The 25010-nt window shown below is 35.6% G+C and overlaps 2 protein-coding genes across 10 annotated transcripts in view, besides 1 other annotated feature; one reads left to right on the plus strand and one right to left on the minus strand.

The window, feature by feature from the left end:
• MRAP2 (melanocortin 2 receptor accessory protein 2) overlaps window positions 1-9170 on the plus strand; it is a 113105-nt gene extending 103935 nt beyond the window's left edge. Inside the window, exons 4-6 of the mRNA XM_017010221.3 lie at window positions 2358-2510; window positions 7450-7518; window positions 8828-9170. Of these exons, the coding sequence (XP_016865710.1) occupies window positions 2358-2510; window positions 7450-7518; window positions 8828-8843 (238 nt within the window). The 3' untranslated portion in view covers window positions 8844-9170. The remainder of the gene's footprint in view (window positions 1-2357; window positions 2511-7449; window positions 7519-8827) is intronic.
• Window positions 1-25010, minus strand: part of CEP162 (centrosomal protein 162) — a 103394-nt gene that overhangs the window by 12863 nt on the left and 65521 nt on the right. For 8 of the 9 annotated variants that reach the window (XR_007059227.1, XM_005248674.5, NM_001286206.2 and 5 more), the window contains 6 exons: window positions 24634-24797; window positions 23700-23804; window positions 18186-18398; window positions 15433-16067; window positions 12450-12591; window positions 9575-9673 (listed from right to left, as the gene is read on the minus strand). Coding sequence is in view for 8 of the 9 variants with exons in the window: in XM_005248674.5 (XP_005248731.1) it covers window positions 9575-9673; window positions 12450-12591; window positions 15433-16067; window positions 18186-18398; window positions 23700-23804; window positions 24634-24797 (1358 nt within the window). In the remaining variant the exon portion in view is untranslated. Of the gene's footprint in view, window positions 1-9574; window positions 9674-12449; window positions 12592-15432; window positions 16068-18185; window positions 18399-23686; window positions 23805-24633; window positions 24798-25010 lie in introns of those variants that run through there. The other variant, XM_047418388.1, reaches the window with a different exon arrangement.
• Window positions 4525-4725: a silencer, noted in NCBI's record as "peak5934 fragment used in MPRA reporter construct". NCBI's record gives its function as "represses an SCP1 promoter by STARR-seq MPRAs in K562 erythroleukemia cells {active_cell/tissue: K562}" and the evidence as "EXISTENCE:reporter gene assay evidence [ECO:0000049][PMID:32103011]".

Genomic DNA, 25010 nt, shown 5'->3' on the forward strand with positions numbered 1-25010 from the left:
TATGAGTCTTATTTCCTTGCACCTTTGTTGTCACTTGGACAGCTCCTGGACAACTATATGAACTGCTGTGAGAATGACTTGCATTGAAGAGAAATGCGTCATGCTGCCTTGCTAGCCTGCTGTTTCCTGGCCTGTATCCAGCATGCCAAGTGTGGCCTTATGGTTGTTGTGTGACTCTAAACGTTTACTTGAACATGCTAGCGAGCCTTACAACGGCAAGTCAAGAATTTAAACCCAGATCTTATAAACCCTATGATCATTCCACTATCTGTTCATAAAACAACAGCAGCTAGCTGTAGAATATTTGCGACAAATTACAGTAAGAATTTTGATAATTCTTATGAGTGGGCCACAATAGTCCCTGGGGTCTTATTAGAGGTAAGTCTTAAATATTTTCTATATCTTTTATAAAATATGCAGATTAAAAAAAATAAAACCCCACAAATGAAAAAATCTGTAATCAGTAAAATGTATATCCTAATAATAGAAAAAATATGAAAATAAGCAATAATAGCATCAATCCTTAGTTATCCATAGGGATCATGAGTAAAGATTCATGTCTTTTCTCTACAACTGCAGGGTGTGAAGAAATAAATGAACTGAAGATTTTTGCAGTCAATTAGAAGTGGAACAATAGATTGAAAAATCTATGATGAATACTAAAACACAAAAGAATATTAAAACTCTAGAATATTAAAACTCTAGAGTCTTAAAAAAACCCAAGGATTTGAAAAATACATGCCTGAGTTAGCATCAACGGAAGAGGTGCTGGATCCTTAATAAGATTTTCACCCCATTGCAGCAGACATAATTTTAAAAGATGTGCTTGAAAATATTTTAGGTAACAAAGGCATGAAACATAATGAAGAGTTTAGAAACATCCTTTCAGATTTCTATAATTAATATACTAAGTGGGAATCATCTTTGCTTTATGCTGAAAACTTATAAATCATTGCTCAGTTATCTCATGGCCTATAAAATGTTAAAAACACATAAGCAATCAAAAGTTCACTAATGGTTTAAAATGTATAGTGTGCTTTCATCTGTGGCGATGTATAGTGTACTTTCACTTGTGGTCATGTGGAGTCAAGGGGAGACTCCTCCTTTAAATAACTAGAAAACAGCACAAAATATTTGAAACAACTGTTTTCAGACACTGGATAACAGCACTACAGACTGTGATTTCTGGGAGAAGGGAAATAAGGTGAGCTCTAGAGTTGTCCAGTTTATTGCCTGGAGGCAGTTTTGAAGCCAGTGGAAATAGCCTGAGCATTTCCTGGAGCTCACACAGAGGTGGGAATAGTTCATATTTCCACCACCCTGAGAGGAAATGCCTCATAATACACAGGACGTCAGGAGAGTCCTCAAACTAGTCTTGTCAAAACAGCTAGAATATTACACAGAATACAGCCATTATAAATAAACTCCATATTAAAAGGTAGGTATTCCAATTAAAAGGCAGGGTGTCATTACCTTTACTCAGGACACTGAGTGCTTAGCTTTCTAGTAGTGAGGCTTAAAAATCATGTGCTGCGTCTTCTATTTTCAAGTATTTTAGATATTCTTAAAGTAAGAACTGTCTTACCATTGTATTGCTAAATTAACAACAATTAAGTTAACTAAAACTGACTTCATTATCTTGCAAACAGGTACATATTCTTTCTTTTATTGCTTTCACTAAAAACTTTACTTCAGTTCTGAGGTTCTGTAAACTTAGTGCTTATGTTAACAAAGTTTTATGTACATCTTAAACACTGAAAAGAATGCACAATGCTGAACTAGCCTTTCAACTACTAGAACAAGATTTTAAAAACTGACACTTGCGTAATTGTAGAGTGTTTTTACATTGATCTTTTCATAATACAATTGGCTCTATATTTTGCCTGTGAGACTTAAATCCTTCAATAACAATAAATGGTATATATGCATCAAAGAACGGGATGTGCAGCTTTCCTGGCCTTTCACACTTTTTAGAATGAAATGGATCTTAGAATCAAATGGAAGAAAAGCTCTCTATCCTCCTCTTTTTCTGCCTAAAAGTAGGAAATACATTTTCCTTTAGTGAAGAGGGCTCTAGATGCTTATTAGCCCAGAGATGGCACCAGAGGAATCTGCAGTACTCCATGAGTTTCCTACCATATATTTACATTCCCACAGTTTCCCACCTTTGTAGCCTAAAAACGACTTTCCTCTGTCCTTTCTTTATCTACAAATTGATTGTTCTTTGTTGAAGATGGTTTGTAAACCAGAGTTCTAAGCCACTGTTTTGAGTTACTTTTCATGAGGTTTCTCCTGTGATGTGTGCTGCACACATTAATAAATTTGTTTTTCTCTTGTTAATCTGTCTTTTGTTACAGTGGCCTGTCCCAACAGGAACTCACATGGGTTGAGAAAAAAAATTTTTCCTTCCTGACAGTTTTTGGCAATGCAGATGGGACTTTCTGGGATACCCCATCCACTCTGGAACCTGCAGATGAAATCCTAGCAAAACTGGCAGAAGCTGGTAAAAGGTAAGAATTCTTACCAAACTCAGCTCTCCCAGATATCTGTCTATAGCAGTCAGTCAAGAAAGGAAGGTAAAATTTTTCCTGGTCCTTCTTTTCCATATTCAGATTGGTAGGAGAAAAAAATTTGTAAAATTCTTTGAATTTGTGACTCTTGTGGGTTTGGTTTTGGCTACCTATTGGTTATTATTTTTAGCCTCCTTGAAAAGGTCATTGTTTTCCATTGTCTTTTGCATCATTTGTTGTGAGAAGGAGAATCACAGGACAGAACACAGACATAGGTCATATAAGCCTGTTGTTCCAGCCACCCTCTCAGGCTGGTGTGTTCACGGTTCTCACCAGACTGGTGTCTGTTTAGACAAACTTTGCTGTGGGTCCCCAGTAAGAAAAAGAAAGGATGAGGTTCACCTTTTATCTTGTTTTATGTCCTGAGAGCTTGGCTTTCATGACCACTGAGAACACTGGTCTCTGGTCTCTGCCAGGTGCAGGGGCACAAGCATTGGCTTGTGTCAGGCAGCCAGGTGAACAGGGTGGGAACCCAAGACACAAGTGACAAGTGGTGTTCTCTTTGTTTGATGCAGCTCAGGGGAGTTTGTCTTAATAAGAGACGGCAGTCCATTAGGAGCCTTTGGCGTTTCAAACTTTGTTGTTTGGTTGATACTGGGAGAGTCCTATCCCAGCAGTGCCTGTGTGGTGTCACAGATTAGCAGGTCTATGACTGGAGGTGTCTCTGTGGGAGGCTTGAAACACCATTTTCACACAACTCTTCTGTCTGCAGAGCAATGAAGGTCTTTGTTTTCTTAGGCTATCTTTGGGAGAAACTTTGGATATCGAGGGAGATTTGATCTTTTGCAGACTTTTTTGAGGAAGCCTCCGGCAACCATGGTTAAGCTACAAAAGGCTTCTTGGTTTTTTGTTTGTTTTTCGTAGAGACAGGGTCTTGCTCTGTCACCCAGGCTGGGGTACAGTGGCACAATCAGCTCACTGAAGCCTTGAACTCCTGGGCTTAACCAATCCTCTCACCTCAACCTCTTGAGTAGCTGGGACTACAGGCGCATGTTACTGCACAGGCTAATTTTTGTATTTTTTATAGAGATGATGTCTCGTCATATTGCCCAGGCTGGTTTCAAACTCCTGGCCTTGGGAGATCCTCTCACCTCAGTCTCCCAAAATGCTAGGATTTACAGGCGTGAGTCACTTTGCCTGGCTGACTTGTTTTAAACCATAAAAATAGCTTACTGGTCTAGAGCAGCAGTTCCCAGACTTTTTGGTACCAGGGACTGGTTTTGTGGAAGACAATTCTTCCACGGAAAGAGGGAGGATGGTTTTGGGATGATTCAAGCTCATCACATTTATCATTAGATTCTCTTATATAAGCCCACAACCTAGATCACTTGCATGTGCAGTTCACAATTGGGTTCACGCTCCTATGAGAATCTAATGCCGCCACTGATCTGACAGGAGGCGGAGATCAGGCAGTAATGCTCACTCGCCCCCTGCTCATCTGCTGAGAGGCCTGGTTCCTAACAGGCCATGAACTGGTACTGGTTTGTGGCCCAGGGTTGGGGACCCCTGGTCTAGAATCACATTAAAATGGGTATACCTTTAAAGATTTGAGTTTTTATATCAAAAAATGATTTTTTTTTTCAATTTTAAAGGGAGCATTCATTCAAAACAAATGTCTTACTGGTACTTATGGTAAAATAAAATTTAAAAGAGGGCATAAAAGAGTGTCAAGTCTAGTCTAAGCAAACAAACAAAAGTCAGACTAGACTTAAGACCAACGTTAACATCTACATCTGCTATAAATTCCTCCTTACCTACCTATAGTCTCCTTTACTCCCAACTGCCTGATGTTGATCTACCAGAAGATCTTCCGATCTCTGGGTCCCTGACTTAAACATCTTTCCTCAAAATCCAGTCTCAACCTCTGAACAAATTCCTTTAATCCTAAAACTCCTCCAACTTCCCCAGGAAATCTTTTAAATGCCCAGCTGCCTACTAACTTGCCTTCCTCTGAAAGATTTACAGAAAGTACTCCAGCCTGATATCCAGGGCCGGGGTGTATAGGTTACTTGTGTAAATACTGCCAACCAGGAGATAAACAGAACACTGTCTCAGGGAACTGGCAGCCAGGCTGGCTTTGCTGTACCTACACTCCACCTACTTTCCAGAGCTCCATCATCAACTCCTTCAGCTCCAGGCCTTCTTATATTTTGGGCCTCCATTACAAAAATATTCCTTAAGACTGTCCTGTGCTCAAGGAAAAGAAAAACTTAAAAAAAAATACCCTGGATCTTTCATAATAGGCAAATATGCCCTAAAATGCCTTCTTGGAGAAAACTTCCGTCCTTTCTCAGTCTCTCAGAGATGTGAATCTCACCATGTCTTTGAAATTTAAACCTTCAAGGAGTTAACTAAAACAACCCCCACATACATTTGAGACTAAAGAAAAAAAGGCAGCCCAGAGGGAGAAGAGTTTGTTTTTGTTTTTTTAAACACACTGCTATAAAAACTCCTTTACCCCAAATTTCATCCATACCCTCCATAAGATTATCTGCAAAGGGCAAATGAAAAATTTTAAGTCTTCCTCAGAAATACCAGTAAAAAGTTTGGCCAGCTAAACAGGTAACCTTAATTTATTCTATCTGCCAAATACACAATTTGCATTCAACTATTCTTTTACAAATTAGCGAGTTTTATATTATTGTGCCTGTCTCATGGCTAAAACTTTAAAATGAAAGCTATATGATCTCTGCATCTGTCTATGTTTATGTACATCTATGTGTATGTGTGTGTGTATATACGTATACATTTTTTTTCTACCTTTGGACGGTATTGTCAAAAGTAATTCATAAAAGAGCACTATTTAATTGGCTTACAGAAAAAGAAGCACTTACACAAATTAAGAATTCCAAAAACTCTCAGAAGTATAGAAACTAACCCAAATGGTTTTCAAGTTCATGTGTCTCAGGTAAATCTGGGATATGATTAGTTTAACATTACTGATTTAATAAAAATAGGCATGACTTCAGAGTTGTCAACAGTAAGTATAATGCAGACATACAACCCTTATGCTACCTGGGTTTACTAATCAAATAAGTATCTCTGCTAGACATTTAAAATTAAAGACCTAGGAGTTCATCCCCAAATCAAACGTGCAAGTCGAAGTACAGTATCCATTATTCCATGTATATTAAGCACAGCAGGAAAAGAAAAACATGTATTTAACTTTTGAGTTCTTGTGCTGCTTGCCTAACCTGCATGTGTTGTAAAAATAGTTAACAGTAAAATAAGATGATGACTAGATGTTTAATGGCTCATGAATTTTCATAAGCAATCCAAGCATAATTGTTAATAACAAGTACATTAAGTAAATATTAGTGGGATAAAATTTATAAAGTCTTCAATAATTACTATGTTTTATGTTTGTAAAAAAAAATTAGTTACCCAAATCTCTTTGGTATAGCTTACATCCTTGGGGTTTTGCTAAGTTAAATAATAAATAGTCACTGAATATCTAGATCATTTCCAAATATACTGAAACATTAACTTATGTTTCACAGACTCATATTGCTGAACATAACCTTATCTACCTTGGCTTCTTAAATTTTACAGAGAAACAAATCACCTGTTCTTATTGTCACATTAAGAAAACTATAAAAATATGCTTCTAGAAGTCATGAAATGATGTTAATCTACAAAATGTTGGTATATGACAGGTCATGGCTGCTTTGTAGTTTTCATAAGAAATTAATGTTACTAAGGATTAAAAGTTCTAATATACATATATTTAAAACTACTAAAGATAAGGGAAACAACTTTGTATGCAAAATATACAAGGAAAATAAGATGTAGTTTTGGTAAGCAAAGTTATGAGGAATGAAGATGTGTTTTCGTTAAGGGAAAAAATAATTAAATCTGTACTAAAGTAGAATGACAGACTGTTTTATAATGAAAAAGGAGAACGAAGAACAAAAAAATGAATGAATGTAGAAGCTTGCAGAAGGAGAGAGAAAGAGAAAGTGAGAATGCACGAATATCTTGTGTGTCTAAGCTGTCTAAAACAGAATATGTTTATTTTAAGAGTTTTAAAAATGAGCCTTAATGTCAAAAGTACAGTGGACAAAACTAGAAACTGGTTTTCTCTCTTAAAACAACAAAGCTTTCTTGGAGCATCGGTCTGCTCTTGATAAGAGATTATAAAAGATTTTCTTTACCTTTAAGTTAATTTATGTAGAAAGCAAAGATTTTGTGTTTTAGTAAAATAACTTCCTGTGTTTCCTATGGTCTCTATCAGTTCTTTGATTACTTAGGAAAACTGAGTTTTCTCACTATGCGACTTTCTGTATTTGCCTTTAGAATCTTTTAATAATCACTTTGGATAACTAAGTATTGTTTCATAATGACCTGTGATCCTATTTAATCAAATGTTTTAAACTTTTTGATATTTTTGACAACTTCCTCAAATCAAATTATAAATTATTTTGACCTCAAACTAGCTTTGGGATGTTCCAGAGGGCCCTGGAAAATCTCAAAAGAATGTTCTTTCTCCTTTTACAAATAGAGATGTCAAAGTAATTAGGCTTATTTGACGTGATAAATTGTACAGGAATCATTGTCAAATAAAGACAATGTTTAATCTTCTTTGAGTTATTTTTGTATGGATACGTTATTAACAAATGTTCCAGAAGTTGTATACAATTCCTAAAAATCTGGTATGTCTTGGTATGATGTTATCAGTAATAATGCTAGTTAATATCTTAATGTTGTATTGTCACAAAAATAACCAAATTTCCATATCAAGTGCATTATAATGAACTCTCATCAGATGTTTAACTATGGCTAGTTTAAAGTCTTATCATCCACAGATAGTTAATTGTTTTACTGTTACTTTCCTAAGAGCTTTTGTAAGCAACTATAAATACAAAGTGTTTTTCTTCAGAAAGATTCATGGAAAGCACTCTGACAAATACAGGCTTCTGATAACTTCAAGATCATACCATTTGGCCAGGTAAGAATTTTTCAGAATTCTAATGAAAAGATTGATTGGTTCACAGAAGTGCTAACCCAACATCAAGCAGAACAAGAATTAATTACATGGGACTAAGTAAACTGATGAAGAATTCTTTTTAGGGACTGTCTGTTTAAAACACTGCTGATTCTTTAATATTCTGTAGAGAACTTTTTCTCTTAAGCTATCCATAGCTTAGAGCAATTTGGTAAATTATACTTTTGTAAACAGAATTGAAATATTTATCTTTTTTTCCTCTATCTCTCCAGAAACCATTAGCTGAGTATTCTTATTTTCACAGGGACATAAATATTTGCATAAGTTCAGTAAGAATCTGTTCTCTTTGTAACACAACTGGAAACATCAGTTATACTATCAAGGCTTTGATTGGAATGTCATATTTCAGAATGTGCATGGAATCAGATATAATCGGACAACTTAAAAAAATACATTGACTTTCTGACGCCAATAAAGTCCCTTGGAAAAAACTGGCTTGGTACCTTACATACGAGGTTTCCTTATAGATGAGTAAGAAATGTCACTTCCTGGCAAGCCCAGGAGCCTCACAATATTTGGGGGATCTCTAGAAGAGAAAGGAATTTACCTGGATCTATTGGTATTGCAGGCAAAATCTGATGGCAAGCCTTTGGCATGCGTTTCTAGCCTGGAGATGCCAATAAAGGGCCAATCTGAGAATCCTTATTAAAAGTTCCAGCAAAACAGACTTATAAAAGAGCCTATATGATTAATCACTATTCTTGCTGCACTTTTTATGCAAATAACCAAGCCAAGTTTAATGAGACTAGACTTATTTTTGCCATTGGTCTTATTGTGATTATCTCTGATAGAAATGAGGGTGACTGCAGAGAGAAAAATACTGTGCTTCATTAGAAAACTGTAACACACCCTTGTAGATATCAGATTCTAGCCTTGTTTTTTTATCTCTGGGGTTTTGTTATTTACATGTAATCTGGTCTAGATCTCTGTCTATAATTCTCCAAACTAGTATTTCAAATTTTTCTCCTACCCTCCTGCCTTGGAATCACTAAAACATTTAACTGCCCTTTTCCTGAAATCTTAATAAGCTGAAGCTGAATGACTTGATATAAACTGCAGAGAGTCACCACAACAGCTAATATACGGACAATTTTCATGCCTATTGCTGCGTGTCTTATAACTAGACATACTCAAACTGTAAAAAATGCTTTGAGCCCAACATCTAGAACTCTTGACTAGCTGCTCTTAGATTCAGAAATTAGTATACAGACTACTCCTACCATTAACTTTTGTTTTTCTTTTGTTTCCATAGAAATGCCTCTTATTAGATCACCATATAGAGGCCTAACTTTGATGAGAGCTCACCTGCAATATCTCCTGAAATGAGACACAACTGCTTAATTGAATTGACCTATTCTCAGCACTAAGACAATGATTTGATATGGGGCAATGTACTTAAATTTGTTCAGCTGCACTTGTTCCAATCTATGTTTTCCTCTTCCTTTGCCAATCCCTGATCTCACAATCTCTAATCCAAATCTCTTCAAAGCTACCAACTTGGAGAGTTCTAAGCCACCATTTTGAGTTACTTTGTGTTGTGGTTTCTCCTGCATTGTGTGCTGCACGTATTAATAAACTTGTTTTTCTCTTATTAATCTGTCTTTTGTTATGGGGTCTGTCTCAACTAAAAACTCATGAGGGTTGAGGAAAAAATTATTTTTCCTCCCTGACAGTACTTTACTTAACACAGAAATGGACTTCACTATTCAATTTTGTCTCCTGAAGAAAACAAACAGAAAACCCAAACATCTCCCGTCCCATTTTCCCCACTACCCACAAAATCTCAACAGCAAATAAAACATAGACAACTTAATGACTTAATATCTGAACTTCACCTGGGGAAAGCAGATTTTACATAAGCACGCTGCTAATATTTTCTTGACGTGATACTTTCAGGTTATATCTATTTGTACATTTAGGTAAAAAATTTATAAATATGAATATGATTGAAATGCCTAAGAAAAACTTATTTTAGCCCAATATTTTGGCCATTTCTTACCTCTTTCTGTAGAATTTCTTCTCGAACTTCAGAAACTACGAGAGACTCTTGTTTACTCTGCAGCTCATTAACTTGACTTTGGAAATGTCTTATAAGTACCTAGGAAATTGTTAGAAGTGCTGAGTTAATAAAGCTCCTCCTTGAACACTATCTGAAAAATATAAGAAAGCCAACTCACAAAAGGGAACTCTTATATACTGTTGGTGGGAATGTAAGTAAGCACAGCTACTATGGAAAAAAATTATAGAGATTTCTCAAAAAACTAAAAATAGAATTACCGTATTATCTAGCAATCCCACTACTGGGTATCTATCCAAAGGAAAAGAAATTTGTATATCAAACGGACACCTGGCACTTGCATGTTTATTGCAGCACTATTCACAATAGCAAAGATATGGAATCAATCTAAGTTCCCATCAACAGACGAAAAGAAATGTGATATATATACCCAATGGAATACAATTCAGCCTTAAATAAGAGGGAAATAATGTCATACGCAGTTAAATGGATGGAACTGAAGGTCATTATGTTAAGTGAAGTAAGCTAGGCACAGAAAAATACTGCATGTTCTCACTCATGTATGAGAGCTAAAAAACTTGATCTCATGAACACAGAGAATAGAACAATAGATACCAGAGATGGGAGTGGGGGGTTGGGAAGGATGAAGAGAGGTTGGTTATGGGTACAAACATACATACAGTTAGATAGATGAAATAAGTTCTAATGTTTAATAGCAGACCAGGGTGACTGTACTTGGCAACAATATTATGTGTATTTCACGGTAACTAGAAGAGAGAGTTTGAAGTGATACCAAGACATAAAAATGATGAACACTCAAGGTGACAGAAATCCCAATTACCCTGACTTGATTATTACACATTCTTTGCATGTAGCAAACACTCACATGTATCCTATAAATATCTAAATCATTATATATCAATAAAAGGGGGGGAAAATAAATATGAACATTTTTCATGACTAGAAAAAGTCCTTTTAAAATAAAGCTCTATAAAGTCTACACATTTGGAAAAAGGTAGACAATATTATCTTTATACTCTGTGGTTAAGTATGATAGTTTTTATTTAAGAACTATGGCTTAAATATAACATAAGCCTCATAATATCTGTGAAATAAATGTCAGTCTCATATCTTTAGGTAAACTGAAATATATGAACAGATACTTCCATCAAGAAACTAAGAGAAATTGGGAAAAATTTATCTTATCTCTAATGCTGTATTTTTAATGATCAGACTATGCTGATTTCTCTTTAACTCAATTTTACAATATTACATTTATAACGCTGGGAAAATAACATTTATGGCACTATGGCATCATGATACTACTTTTCCTACCTCTTCCAGACTATTCCTTAATACAAAATCACTTGATAGAATGCTTATAGTTGCCCTCTGACACCCTATTCCTATGGAGGATAAGGCCAGAGAGGTTCTCTGTAAGGCTGTATGGATTGTTACTTACGAAAGGCACTTTAAGTATTTTTCATTAACGTAGTCAAATAGTCCTTTTTTTTCTCAGCGATCTGAAGTTAAGTTACAGACTTCATTACATTTTGCCCCTAAATACTTCAAATGCCACTTTGGGAGGTCAAAGTGGGTGGATCACTTGAGGTCAGAAGTTCGAGACCAACCTGGCCAACATGGTGAAACCCCATCTCTACCAAAAATATAAAAATTAGTCAGGCATGGTGGCGTGCACCTGTAATCCCAGCTACTTGGAAGGCTGAGACAGAAGAATCGCTTGAACCTGGGAGGCAGAGGTTGCAGTGAGCTGAGACAGCCTGGGTGACAGAAGGAGACTGTCTCAAAGAAACAAAACCTTCAGATGCTTCAACATACATCTCTTTAGAATAAGGGCATTTCTCACAAAACCATAACATTTTATACCTAAGAAAATTTATAGTAATTTCTTAGTATCTAATAGCCAGTCCATATTCAAACTTCCCGAATTGAGGAATTTATTTTTAATTAAGATGGTATTAAATAATTACACTTGGTGAGATAATTCTTTCTTGATGTTTTTCTCCCTGACCTTCTTTCTTAAAATTGAAGCCTACAGACAAGATGAACACAATAAACATTCATATATTTTTCAACTTGATAACCCAAAAGGTGGCTGATTTGCCACCTTTTTCTTTTTCTTGGATATACCATTTGAAAGTAGATTGTAGATAAAAGTCCTATTTTAATGCTATTTTTATAAGTGACAAACAGTACAGAAGACAGGCCACATGGTAATGCTCATAGATATTCTAAGTAGATATACCTATTTTTCAAAAAGGAAGACACATTTATTTGAGGAAATGCTGATGAGTTGGCAGCATTCCCTATAATAATTCTTAGAAGACTATGCTCCATCAGAGCAAGAGCTGTGTATCTCTCTTTTCATTATTTTATTCCAGTGCCTGATTGTCTATTGACCTGAATCATTATTTGTTAATAAAAGGTCATGGGGCAGGAAGAATGCCTAAGGATAACTGTCAGCTGGGACTTGGGGACTCGGTTCAACATCCAAGTTCAAGTACTAGGGTCCTAATCATGTTAGACATATACCTCACCACCTGTGACAAATTTAGAGACTTATTTGAGAAGTATAGGGACAAACTGTAAAAATATTTATTTATATGGTGTAGTTTTAAAGTAGAAAAATTAAATATATAGTATTATCTTCTTTAAAAAAATTAAATATATAGTATTATCTTCTTTAAAAAAGAAATCAAGCCAATAATAGTTTCCCATTTCTATCACCAAGCTGAAAAAGTTAAAACATTTCCAAATAAAACAATGTTAACTTTAATCTCATTAAAGTCAAAACGAGTTTATTCAAGTCAAAAGATAAAACAGATTTGTCATCTACCTCTTGAGTTGCTATTTTACGATTTAGTTCAGCTACTTTGGAAGAAGAATTTTCTACTGCATTTTGGCAAAGGAGTTTCTCTATTTCTCTCTGATGAGATGCTTTGAGGGATGCAATGTGTGCTGCAGTATCTTCCTTGACCCTACAGAGCAAATGAAAGAAAACCACACATAAAAGTGGCTCTTCAACCTCTAATTCAGAGTTAGCACAAAAACAGTAGAAGAAACCTGGGAATTAAGCAAGGGGAAAATGGGCACCAATATTAACTGCACTGTGTTAGGTGCTTTATACATTACTACTGCCTATGAGTTCTTATGACCAATCCATGAGCTACTATTTACTGAATTTTATAAGGGCAAACTTGAGGAAATAGTGATATATCTCTACTTTACCCCAACCTGAGGCTACACTTTCTGAGGGAATCTAGGGTTCCAAAAGCAAAGCACTTGACATTTGATCTTTTAAGATAAACTCAGATTTCTTGCCCAGATGCTTCTTTGGAAAATCACAGCTGTTCCCTTTAGAATCTCCAATGCCTTGTAGGCAGCATTAACCAATTTTCAACCCATGCATGAGACTCCAGGGCTAGTTGCATATTGTGAGAATGAGACAATCTTTATGGTAATTCTCAGGACATATTATGCTTGTAATATGCAATTAATTAATTGGACTGTAAGTGTGAAAGACTATTCATTTGTCTCTGTGATAAAATTTATTCAGAGGCAGTTCAGTAAATGGTTAAAATTATAAATAAAGATTTGGTATATTTCCTACAGATAAACATTTTCTCTCTTATTGGAAAGACTTTGAAAATAACAGCATTTAACTTAAAGCATGTATTTTAGTAAACTGCTGTTGCTATATATTAATATGGTGCTTCCCAACTATAGACAAATTTATCCATTGCTTATTTCACCATATGAATATTTCTCCATGGAAACAGTGTGAGTAGGGTCCTAGAAAAAGCATAAAAACCTAAATTAAAGCACATATAACTGAATGATAGTAAAAAGTCTAAATATTGGACTAGAAAAGTTTATTCTTCACTTCTCAGGCCCAGACTTATCTAAGAAACAGATTGACAATATTAACAAATTTTAAATGATGTACAGGAAAATTAATTGGAAAACCTGAATTTTAAATTCTTTCCTGGAAAAAATGTGATTCTTCTTAAAGAGCTTCATGCTACTGTCATAATATTCAGGACTTAAGAAACAAGCTTTCCATTTGGTAGCAATATGACTGCCATATGGTAACAACATGACTCACTCACTGCCATGGCTGCCAGTCAATAAGCATTTGTTGGGTGTTTCCCATGCTCATTCTCCTCCTACAGCACATTGCTGTGGGGATGCAAAAGCAGCATAATCTTACACCAGTTCTCAAGGAACTACAAGGCTGTGTATGATTAATCCTTTCTTGGTACATATTAGTAAGTTATGTAGGAGTTGGGGGTAGGAGAAGGCAATTTCCTGGGAAGTTCCACGAAATGTTTTGTGAAGGTAGTACTTATAACAAGAATGAGGAAAAGGCATGAGGAAATGTGACAGATTAGGTAAGTAGAGTAGTATTAGAATAGTGATGAGACTTGAGATGCTAGGCAGAGAAATTTAGTCTTGATATTTAAGGAAGTTGAGAGTCACCGGAGAGCAGAGTGACCCAGGTATATGAGTATTTAAAGAATATTAATGATTTTTAAGCAAGATGACTGGGGAAGGTTAAAAAAAAGGAAGATTGGAGTGGGAAAATTGTATAATGGCAGCACTGGTTTATAAAAGTAAGGAAGACTGGAAAATGGGAAACATTTATACCCAAGGAATAACAGAGATAAAGCTGGGCTGGTAATTAAAATAAATATAGACAGGGAAGGGGAGCTTGGGAAGGGGAACTAATTTACAGGTAAAAAAAGGAAACTTGAGGTATTAGTGATTCCAAGAGAAGCAATCCAATAAATAGTTCTAGGTTTCACATCTGAACTCAGCAAAGAGAACAAGACTTTAAAAGTAAATCTAGAAGTCATGGTTCACAGAAACCGTAAGAATGGGTAAGTTTAGCAACAGAGAAAGAACAGAGAATAAACAGAAAACTAAGAGCTGAATGCTGGTAGAAAGCCAGATTTTTGGGGATGGAGAAGGAAGAAGGGTCAGAATTCAGTAAAAGAAACAGAAAAGGAGTTTTGGTCAGAGCAGCCAAGCCACAGAGGTTAAGGGGAGAAGCCATTTCAGGAAAAGTAGTGTGGTCAACATTGTTGAAGAAAATGAGGAAGGAGAAAATGCCCCTGGACTGGGAAAGCTCATTATTGAGACCAGGTTTAAAAAGGGTGATGATGAGAGCCATATTTAAGAGGAAGTGAGATAGAAATAAAAGAAAATACTATTTGTGAAAAACGGGTGCTAAAAGACAGGATTGGATTGGAACCTGATCAGGTGAAAAAAAGATCTGAGGATGTCAAAAGACTCAGAGGAAAGAGACAGTGGATAGCAAATGGAGATAGTGAGAAGGAAATGGATGAGTATAAAGTTCCTTAAGGCATGAATGGATGTGATCACAAGGTCAATTTGAAGAGTTATTTTTGAAAAGAGGACCTTTTCCTTTTAGACTGCCAACTAGCTTTAACAATAACTGTTTTCTGAAAGCAATCTGTCTATAGCAATAATAAACTATGACATTCCTTTGCTAGAAGAGCCCAAAGAGTCAGCTTATTAATACCATTTGGGTACATGCCAAAAGGCAAGACTGGCGAGCCCAAGGACACAATTTGGGTTGACACAGATGTTCAGGTACATCAGAATTTGGGCCACCAGCAGGTAGAAGACCCTATCCTGAAACAGACACATGCTCAGCAATATAATATAATTTATTAATATTCACTTATGAATTCAGTTCGGGGTCAAACTAATTATCTGGAGGAAATATATCGTATAATTTTTCTATTTTTATCTTTTTATTTTTACAAATATTTATAAATAATTTAACATTTTACCTTCTCATGGAGTTTTCAAATTGATTCATCACTGCTTCAGATTTCATCTTCAGTTCATTCTTCTCTGAAATTAATCCTTCTAGCTCATTTTTTAATCTGTAGTTTTCTTGTAAAACTTCTGAAACATGGGAATCAGTGAAAGTATGTGGTTGGTACAGCTTGCTGTCCAGGGTTCCAGGGAAGGAGTTAGCATTTCCTTTACTTGAGTGCAAAACATCTTTCTTTGCCCTTTTGGCAGACATTTCCTCTCTGCCCTTTGAGTTCTGATTTGATAGCATCATTCTTCTGTCTTTCTGAAGCCTCTCCACAGTTTTTGAGAGGTCTTGTATTTCTCTCTTTTTTGCAGCCAGTTCTTCATTGAGTCTTACTAATTTAGCTTTAGCATGAGCCTGTTCCACCTGGAATTCTATAGACTGAAAATCTTCATCATCTTTATCATTTTTCTTGACGTCTAATTCAGCATTCTGATGTTTAAGAACGTCTATTTCGGCTTCAAGGTTTCTTACAGTGATCTGATGGGCTTCCTTGATGTCATCAAGTTCCTTCTCTAGGGCTTTAATTCTGGGAGAGTCATGTTGATTCAATTTGCAGGCAAGTAGCTGCTCCTGCTGCTCTAGTCTTTGTTCATACTGAATCTGAAGGAAAGAATCCATGTAATGCCAAACACCTGTTAAACGTTTCATTAGTTGCTGAAGCCCTGCACACTACTGGGTCCTACCTAATCCTTTATTCAGGTACTCATTATACATTCTGATGTCTACAATTCTGTTTCTTGAGTGAGTCAAATGTATTGAAGTCCTAGTCTTTCAGGGCATAACATTATATATTCTTGATATATGTTATGTTATTTAATAATTGATATGTTGCTTCATAACTATTAACTTACATATGTTCTTACACACTCCAAAATTTATTTTAAATCTCACAATAAAACCTATTATTATGCAGTCTTCTCCATGCAAACTGTCAACACACTCTTCGAGGATAAACAGTAAAGCAACTGGGGGCACTGAAGTCTTCGGGAAACAGCACATTTTCAACCTTCTAACATCAATTTATTACTTTCATAGAGAGTAAAATGGCCTGGAATTTGTATACTGGAGCTTTAATATTTTGTTTAGTATTCAGCAAATGAAATAAATAATTTCTCCTACGGAGGGAGGCACGAGCAGTGTTTGCTCATTCATTCAATGGATATTTACCAAGTTATGACCTTATGCCAAGCAACATGCAGGTTCTAGCAACAAAAAGACTCAGTTATTATTTTCAAATAGCTCACAGCTTGGTGAGGAGAGCAACATGGCAGCAGCTACAACGTCCCACAAGTAAAATAATGGGCCTGTGAACATAGTGCAGTGAGTGCAGAGGAGGCGACGCTGCCCTAAGTGTCTGGAGGCTTGACAGAAGGTGGGAAGACTGCACAGAGATAGCACATTTATGTTCGGTCTTGAGAGATGACTGTTAATTTGGGGTTAGGTGGAGTCAGGGATGTTTTGGAAGTAGGAAGAGCATATGCAAAGCTGGCTGAATGTTTGGTATATACAGGGAATCAGAAATGAAAGGGGGAAGAGACAAGTAGTAAGCAAAGGCAGGAGTGGGATGGGGCAGGGGGCTGCAAAAAGAAACAAGTTAGGGTGTTTAGATTTAGATACATAAAAGTGCAGTAGCGGGTTGGAGTTTACACCTGACAGTCTTATTTAGTTGGTGGAACACTAATAATAATTATAATCATTAATTGTTTGCTAGACTCCAGACATGTTATCAGGGATATCTATCTATCTATCTATCTGTCTGTCTGTCTGTCTGTCTGTCTGTCTATCTATCTATCTATCTACCTATCTATCTATCTATCTATGTATCTATCTGTAAAACAGGGTGGAATAGAAGAAACCCAACCTCCTTGATGTGACCTTAATTAACAGGCCACTGTATTTCCAGGTTATCAACCTTCTACTGTTTCTGGAATCTAATGTTCTGTCATTTGTTGCTTTTCTCGGGATATAAATATGTGGGAAATGAAATGAGCTTCCTAGAACATCTCAGCTCCTTCATCTGCAAAATAGTGTTAACAGTATCTACTCCTCACAGGTGTTTGGAAGGATTATGCAAGATGAACAGAGATATTTATGAAAGTATCTAGCATGAATTCCTGACAGACACGTGCTCAACAAATTTTTAAAAATAATCTATAACTGTTATTTGTCTACAAAATTTTTTTTAAAGTAAATTAAATATGTCCTGTTTCATACTTGGTCTGTTCTAGCACTTGTATTTTCTGATTCATTCCTGTTTCACAAAATAATGGAAAACTCAGAAAGTAAGACATTTCTGGAAGATGCTCCCCTACCCGCTGTTCCTAAAATGTATACTTCTGTCTTATTCCCTTACCCTTCTCTAGATAAATTTCAGTGAAAATATTTTCAAACATGGTAATTTCTTTTTTCCTTTTGTACTGGATACATATCAGGTGTGTTTTATTCTGCTTTTTCATGACTTAATTTCCACTAATTCTCATATTGAGAGAGATGATGTAAAGATTATCCTGTGCTTGATTACTCTGTCAGAAATAGAAAAGTTGCTGAAAGACGACACCAAAATAGGATGCACTTGGTTTCTTTTGCACCTATTGATACCAGTGGTAAAGGTTTCATGGGAAAGAATGTTTATAGCTATTTGTTAAAGTGAGATCCTAAGAAGTGCCTGCCCCCATTGTTCATCTCTGACCTTTATCTCTGAGGCTACTTACCACTTACCTTCATTTTCTGAAACTGTTGTTCCATGGTACGAAGGCTTTTCTTTGCATCTTCATCTTTGCCCTCCAGATCAGCTTCTAGCTTTTTTATCCTTTTCTCCATAAATTCCACTGTATTTTTATCCACTGTATCACCAGCTGCTGATGCAGCCAATATTAAAGCAGGTAAAGAATTGGGATATCTTCTCTTCAGAATCCCTTCCATTTCCTTAACCTATTAAAACATATTTTCCACCAAAGAACACTTAGATTTAATAAATGAATTCAGTAAAGTTTCAGGATACAATCTACAGAAATCTCTGTATACAGTAGCATTTCTATATACCAATAACAATCTTGCTGAGGACCAAATCAAGAACTACCTAGGAATATATTTAACCAAGAAGGTGAAGGATGTTTGCCAGGAGAACTACAAACACTGATAAAGAAAACCGTGACACAAACAAATAGAAAAACATCCCATGTGCATAGACTGGAAGGATTAGTGTAGTTAAAATGACCATACTGCCTAAAGCAATCTACAAATTCAATTCAATCCCTATCAAATTACCAAAGTCATTTTTCACAGAATTAGAAAAACCAATCCTACAATTCATACGGAACCAAAAAAGAGGCTGAATAGCCAAAGCAATCCTAAGCAAAAAGAACAAAGCTGGAGGTATCACACTACCTGACTTCAAATTGTACTACGAGGCTATAGCAGCCAAAACAGCACAGTACTGATAAAAATAGACACATAGATCAATGGAACAGAATAGAGAACCCAAAAATTAAGCCACATGCCTACAATCAACTGATCTTGGACAAAGTCACCAAAAAAATACACTAGGGAAAGGACACCCTATTCAATAAATGGTGCTGGGAAAAATGGATTGTCATGTGCAAAAGAATGAAACTGAACTCACACCTCTCACTTTATACAAAAATAAACTCAAGATGCTTTAAAGATCTAAGACCTGAAACTATAAAAATCCTAGAAAAAATTCTAAGAAAAACACTTTTGAACACTGGCCCAGGCAAAGGATTTATGACCAAGTCTCCAAAAGCAAATGCAACAAAACCAAAAATAAACAAATGGGACTTAATTAAATAACCCCATTAAAAAGTGGGCAAAGGACACGAACACACATTTTTCAAAAGACATACAAGTGGCCAAAAAATATGAAAAAATGCTCAACCTCACTAATCACCAAATAAATGCAAATTAAAACCACAATGAGGTACCATCTTACTCCAGTCATAAGGGTTATTATTAGAAAGTTAATAAACAGCAGACGTTAGCGAGGATGTGGAGAAAAGGGAACACGTGTACACTGTTGGTGGGAGTATAAATTAGTAAAACCATTATGGAAAACAGTGTGGAGATTTCTTAAGACCTAAAAAGAGAACCACTTGATCCAGCAATTCCACTACTAGGATTGAAAGGAAAATAAATCGTATCAAAAAGACACACACACACACACACACACACACACAAACACACTATTCATCCATAGAAGAGAATAAAAGCATGTTTTGAAGCAACATGGATGGAACTGGAGGCCATTATCCCAAGTGAAATAACTCAGAAAGTAAAACTCCACATGTTCTCACTTGAAAGTGGGAGCTAAACAATGTACACACATGTATATACAGACTGGAATAACAGACACTGGAGACTACAAAAGGTGGCAGGGTGGGAGGGGGTGAGGGCTAAAAAATTACCTACCAGGTACAGTGTTCATTATTTGGGTAGTGGCTACACTAAAAGGCCAGACTTCACCACTATGCAATATATGCCTGCAAGAAATCTGCAATTGTACCCCCTAAATCTATAAAAATAAAACAGTAAAATTTTTGAAACATATATATGGTCACAAATATATGTAAAATAAAGCAATTTAATGCATAAACTTAGATTATGCTACACTTGTCAATATTTCGGAGATATTTATAGCATGTCTCCAGATTGAATCGAATGCACAGAAGCACAAATTAATTTCACATTTTACATCCCTAGATTATCTGATGAAAAAATCTTAAAGTATATTGTCTAATTACCTATGGGTTTATTTACAGAAATTCTCTTAAATTCATTAGAAATATATCTTCAGGGCTGGGTGCGATGGCTCATGCCTGTAATCCCAGCACTTTGGGAAGCCAAGGCGGGTGGATCACTTGAGGTCAGGAGTTCCAGACCAGCCATGGCCAACATGGTGACACCCTGTCTCTACTAAAAAAATACAAAAATTAGCCTGGTGTGGTGGTACACACCTGTGGTCCCAGCTACTCAGGAGGCTGAGGTGGGAGAACTGCTTGGACCCAGGAGGCTGAGGTTGCAGTGAGCCAGGATCGCGCTCCAGCCTGAGTGACAGGGTGAGACAACGTCTCAAAAAAAAAAGAAATATGTCTTCAGACTTTCAATTAGTAATAACCAGTCCTCTTGAGTACAAAGCTCTCTCCTCTTTTTTCCAGACTCCCTCATATGATAGTGCTTCTACACTCTACTGACTGAAAAATTACTTATATGCACATGAGTGTGTAAACTTTTTGCAATAAACATTCAGCTTCCTAAGCACCTGACTCTGCCGGAAGCTCTACTCCACTCCAATCCTCTGGTCCAAATAAAGTTTAATCTACTTTAAAATGATTTCTTTTAATTGGAAAGCAAGGAGGATTAGATAACATTTAATGAAGTCTTCATAAAGGACTGGATACTTTTCATTTAATATAAAAAACAATGACATATTATATAATGAAAGAAACACACCAGGGTCCACAGAAATGACAGCTTATTATATATGCCTGTCTATATACCTGCTTTTTAAAACTATTATGGTGAAGATATCTTTGAAAAACATACAAACACTAAATTCTTTGTTGAACTGTTTTCTAGCCTATGAGCATGCAACAAAATAGTGCCTGAGAGGCAGTCTAGTGTCAGTTAAGAGCATATTTGGGTTAGACTGTGCCACCAGCTTTAGGACCTTGTGTCAACTAATCCCTCAGTTTAAATCTCTCTTGTCTCATGGGTAAGATGGGAATGGTAACAGTAGCAATTTCAAAGGGTTGATATAATTGAGGATCAAATGACTTTCATCTTGTTAAGCACTTAAGAGTGCCCAGCATATAGTGAGGGCTTGGTAAGTGTTGGCTTTTATGATGATTTCATCTCCTAAGGCAAGATGGTTTGCTGGTGCTCAAAATCCTGTTCATATTAGGTATTTAAGGGGCATATGATTTACATAGTTAATATAAATATTTACACTTGTGAAAACTGCTTGCACATTTATTGATATATCATAAATTGGGATATATCCATCTACAAATATTAGTCATTTCTTTCACCCGAAAAATTCAAAGCTTTGTTTCCTCTGATACTAGTTAACTGAGTTAGTTGTAGGTATATGAAAATACATGTATACATACCAACACTAAATATAGTAAAAAGAGAACTAGGTTTTATAAATGTAACATTTTAAATTAATGTATTCATTTAAAAATTAAATATTTTCAATCTGATTTTGATATCTTGAAATATATACTGTATTTTTTGGGAAAAATGAGATTTTATTTGTATCTTCTTTAATTTTGCTTTTTAATATTATTCTTTGGTCAAAAATATCAGTCTGGTATACAAAGTAAATTTTTTTTAACTCTCATTGCAAATCAAACCATGAAATATTCCATTAAATAAAAAAAGCACAAACACAATCTAAAATTTTCATTACAATATGCATCTAATTAGCCCCATTTTTACTTATATTCTATTTAAAAATAGATAATTTATAATTAGTCTATTTAAGAATAGACTAATTATAATTATTCTGAATATATTGTGATATACCTTGATTAAAAAATATGTATTAAGTTTTAAAATATCAGGATAGAAATGCTCATGGAAACTAAATAAATACAATCTGAAATGTATATGCAGCAATCCAACTATATAGATAACTATTTTAGAAAAATATAAGATGATGAACTGTTTAATAAAAGTATTAATACAAAAGGGAGGTTACTTTTATAAAGTGGTATATCTCTTGCCAATATGGATTCAATTCTACATAATTTCTCTTAAAATAAGTTATCTAATAAAGAAGTAGCTCCTTTGGTCTTTTTTCTCTCCCACTTCTGGATGGCTTCTTAGATTAGCTAATCTAAGTCTTTAGCACTAAAGAAAATCCAAGCAATGCTGGACTATACTTACTTCAGAATATTTCTAGTTCTTTTTTAAAATTAATTATTTATATATATATATATATATATATATTTTTTTTTTTTTTTTTTTTTTTTTTTTTTTTTTTGAGATGGAGTTTTGCTCCATCACCCAGGCTGAGGTACAGTGGCATGATCTTGGCTCATTCCAACTTCTACCTCCCAGGTTCAAGTGATTCTCTTGCCTCACCCTCCCAAGTAGCTAGGATTACAGGTGTGCACCACCAAGCCCAGCTAAAACCATGCCTGGCTAATTTTTCTATTTTTTAGCAGAGAGAGGGTTTCACCATGTTGGCCACCCTGGTCTTGAACTCCTAGCTTCATGTGATTCTCCTGCCTCTGCCTCCCAAAGTGCTGGGATTACAGGCGTGAGCCACCGCGCCTGGCCAAATATTTCTAGTTCTTCATACCACATTTGGCTGATCCTTTCTTGGCCCTGACCCAATCTACTCAGTCATACCTTTTAATATAAAAATAGGTCTTGTAAAAGTAATAAAGTTAATTCTTTGCTTAGTTTTCCTTCTTCTCATAAAACTGGGATAATATTCAGCCCAGTAATGACCTCACAGTTTCGGATTCATGATGGAATAATACCCATATGTCTAAGTACCATGACTTGACTACAGAATCATGTTCCCTTATGAACAAGGCTGGCAATTCATATTTTGTTTTAAAATATTTAGTTATGAATATAAATGCTATATTACAGTGTTTTAAAAACAGAAGGAAAAAAATAACAATCTTGCTTCCTAAAACAAATACTTAAATAAAAAAATCTTTATTTTAATAAGCTTCACTTTATGATTAAAGGTCTCCCACACTGACCACAAAATGAGTATTTCTAAGCCTGAATGGTAAGAAAGAGCTCAAGATAATGGCCAGCTCTTTGGGAAGCTGAATGTTTTGTTTATAGGGTGTTTTGTAACATTTCCCAAGCATTACCAGCATGTTCCCAACTCAGGGATCTCCCTCCTGTACTCCTCTCTCAGCTGTCTACGGTCAGGAAGAGAAATCCTAACTCTATATCCAGAGTTCCAAAATTCTACTTCCTTCTTCCTAGATGTCTAATAGAGCTAGGGTACCAAATAACCTTTATCAACAGGTCTACCATCTTACGAATGAGGCACATTAGTCTAAAAATTATGTAATTATAAAGCTGTAGGTATATAAAATGATGTTATTACTTTTACTAATGTAAATACTTTAAAACAAAAATTTCCAGGTCAACTCCATCTCATGGGAACTCCTGAAACAAAAGAGAAAACCAAAATGCACTATATATAAAATATGCTCATGAAAATTTACCCTGAACACATACTTGTCGCTCCAGATCCTGAATTTTTTTGGCATCTGCTGCTTTATCTTTTAAGCGTATCTTCTGCCGAATAGATGGATTCCCAGATTCAGCTTTCAGTTTCTCAATCTGTCAATAAATAAATAACATGTTAAGAAGCATATGTAAACATAACAGAAAAGCTCCAAGGGGAAAGCATAATATTAGTGCACTCATACATTTATTAATTCCTCAGCAAAATTTGGGGAATTAATTCCTCAAATTCTTTGAGCTCCTCCCAAGTTCCAGGCACTTCCTAGATCTGGCAGGAGATATGGAGGGCAAACAAGACAAACTAAGTCCCTGCTCCCAAGATGCTTATGCTCTAGTAGAGGGAGAGAGTTGATAAGCTAATAAATAAAGTAAATCAAAGGGAAAATGAAATAACTTCAGAGTGGTAAGGGCTAAGAAGAAAATAAAACAGAGTGAAGGGATAGGAACAAAGAACCAGAAGTTGAGGGATTGGCAGCTACATTAGGAAAGGGAGTCAGGAAACGTCTTTTCTAGAGAGTAGATATTTGAGCCAAGAGGAACAAGGAGTACGAGTGAGACAAAAAAGAACTAAAGCTAGAGTATTCCAGGCCAAGAAAACAAGTGGAATGAGTCCAGCATGTTCAAGAATCAGAGGAGCTCTGATGTGGCTGGAGAAGAGTGACTCAGGGGAGTGTGGTACCTGATGACACTGAAGAGGCAGGCAGGGTTTGGACCCCATGGGGGCCTGACAGGTTGTGATAAGGAGCTTATATTTATTCTCAGTCTAATTTAAAATAGACTATATATCTAAAAGCAAACCACCGATCTTAATTAATAGTTCAGATCTTAATTAATTAATGATGCAATGACAAAAGGTTATGTACAACAGATATTACGGACAAAAGGATTCATCTAGAGAAGAAATACATTCTGAAATATCTATTACCTCAAGTTTGAGCTTCTCAATTTCCTCATTTGCTTCTCTAAGCCGAAGTGCATCTTTATCCAGAAGTTCCTGATTTTCAGCATACCACTGTAATCTTTTTTGCAGACGACTGATTTCTTGTTTATGTGTTTCTTCTAAAATTTTTATTTCATATAATTTCTCACCTATAAGATACAGTAACTCAATAACCTGCTTGTTGTTCTCCAAAATATGGAAATAAACTAAATTAAAAGATTTTAAATGAAAACCAATGCCCATCTAATGACAGCATTATGAAAAAATAAGAAGCATAAAACAACTGATGTATACAACATAGTGTCTAGCTTAATCTATTAGTCAAAGGAAATAAGAGATTGTGTTTATAATCCAAATTGTCA

The sequence above is a fragment of the Homo sapiens genome, chromosome 6 (assembly GCF_000001405.40).
Source record: "Homo sapiens chromosome 6, GRCh38.p14 Primary Assembly".
In the NCBI taxonomy this organism is placed as follows: domain Eukaryota; kingdom Metazoa; phylum Chordata; class Mammalia; order Primates; family Hominidae; genus Homo; species Homo sapiens.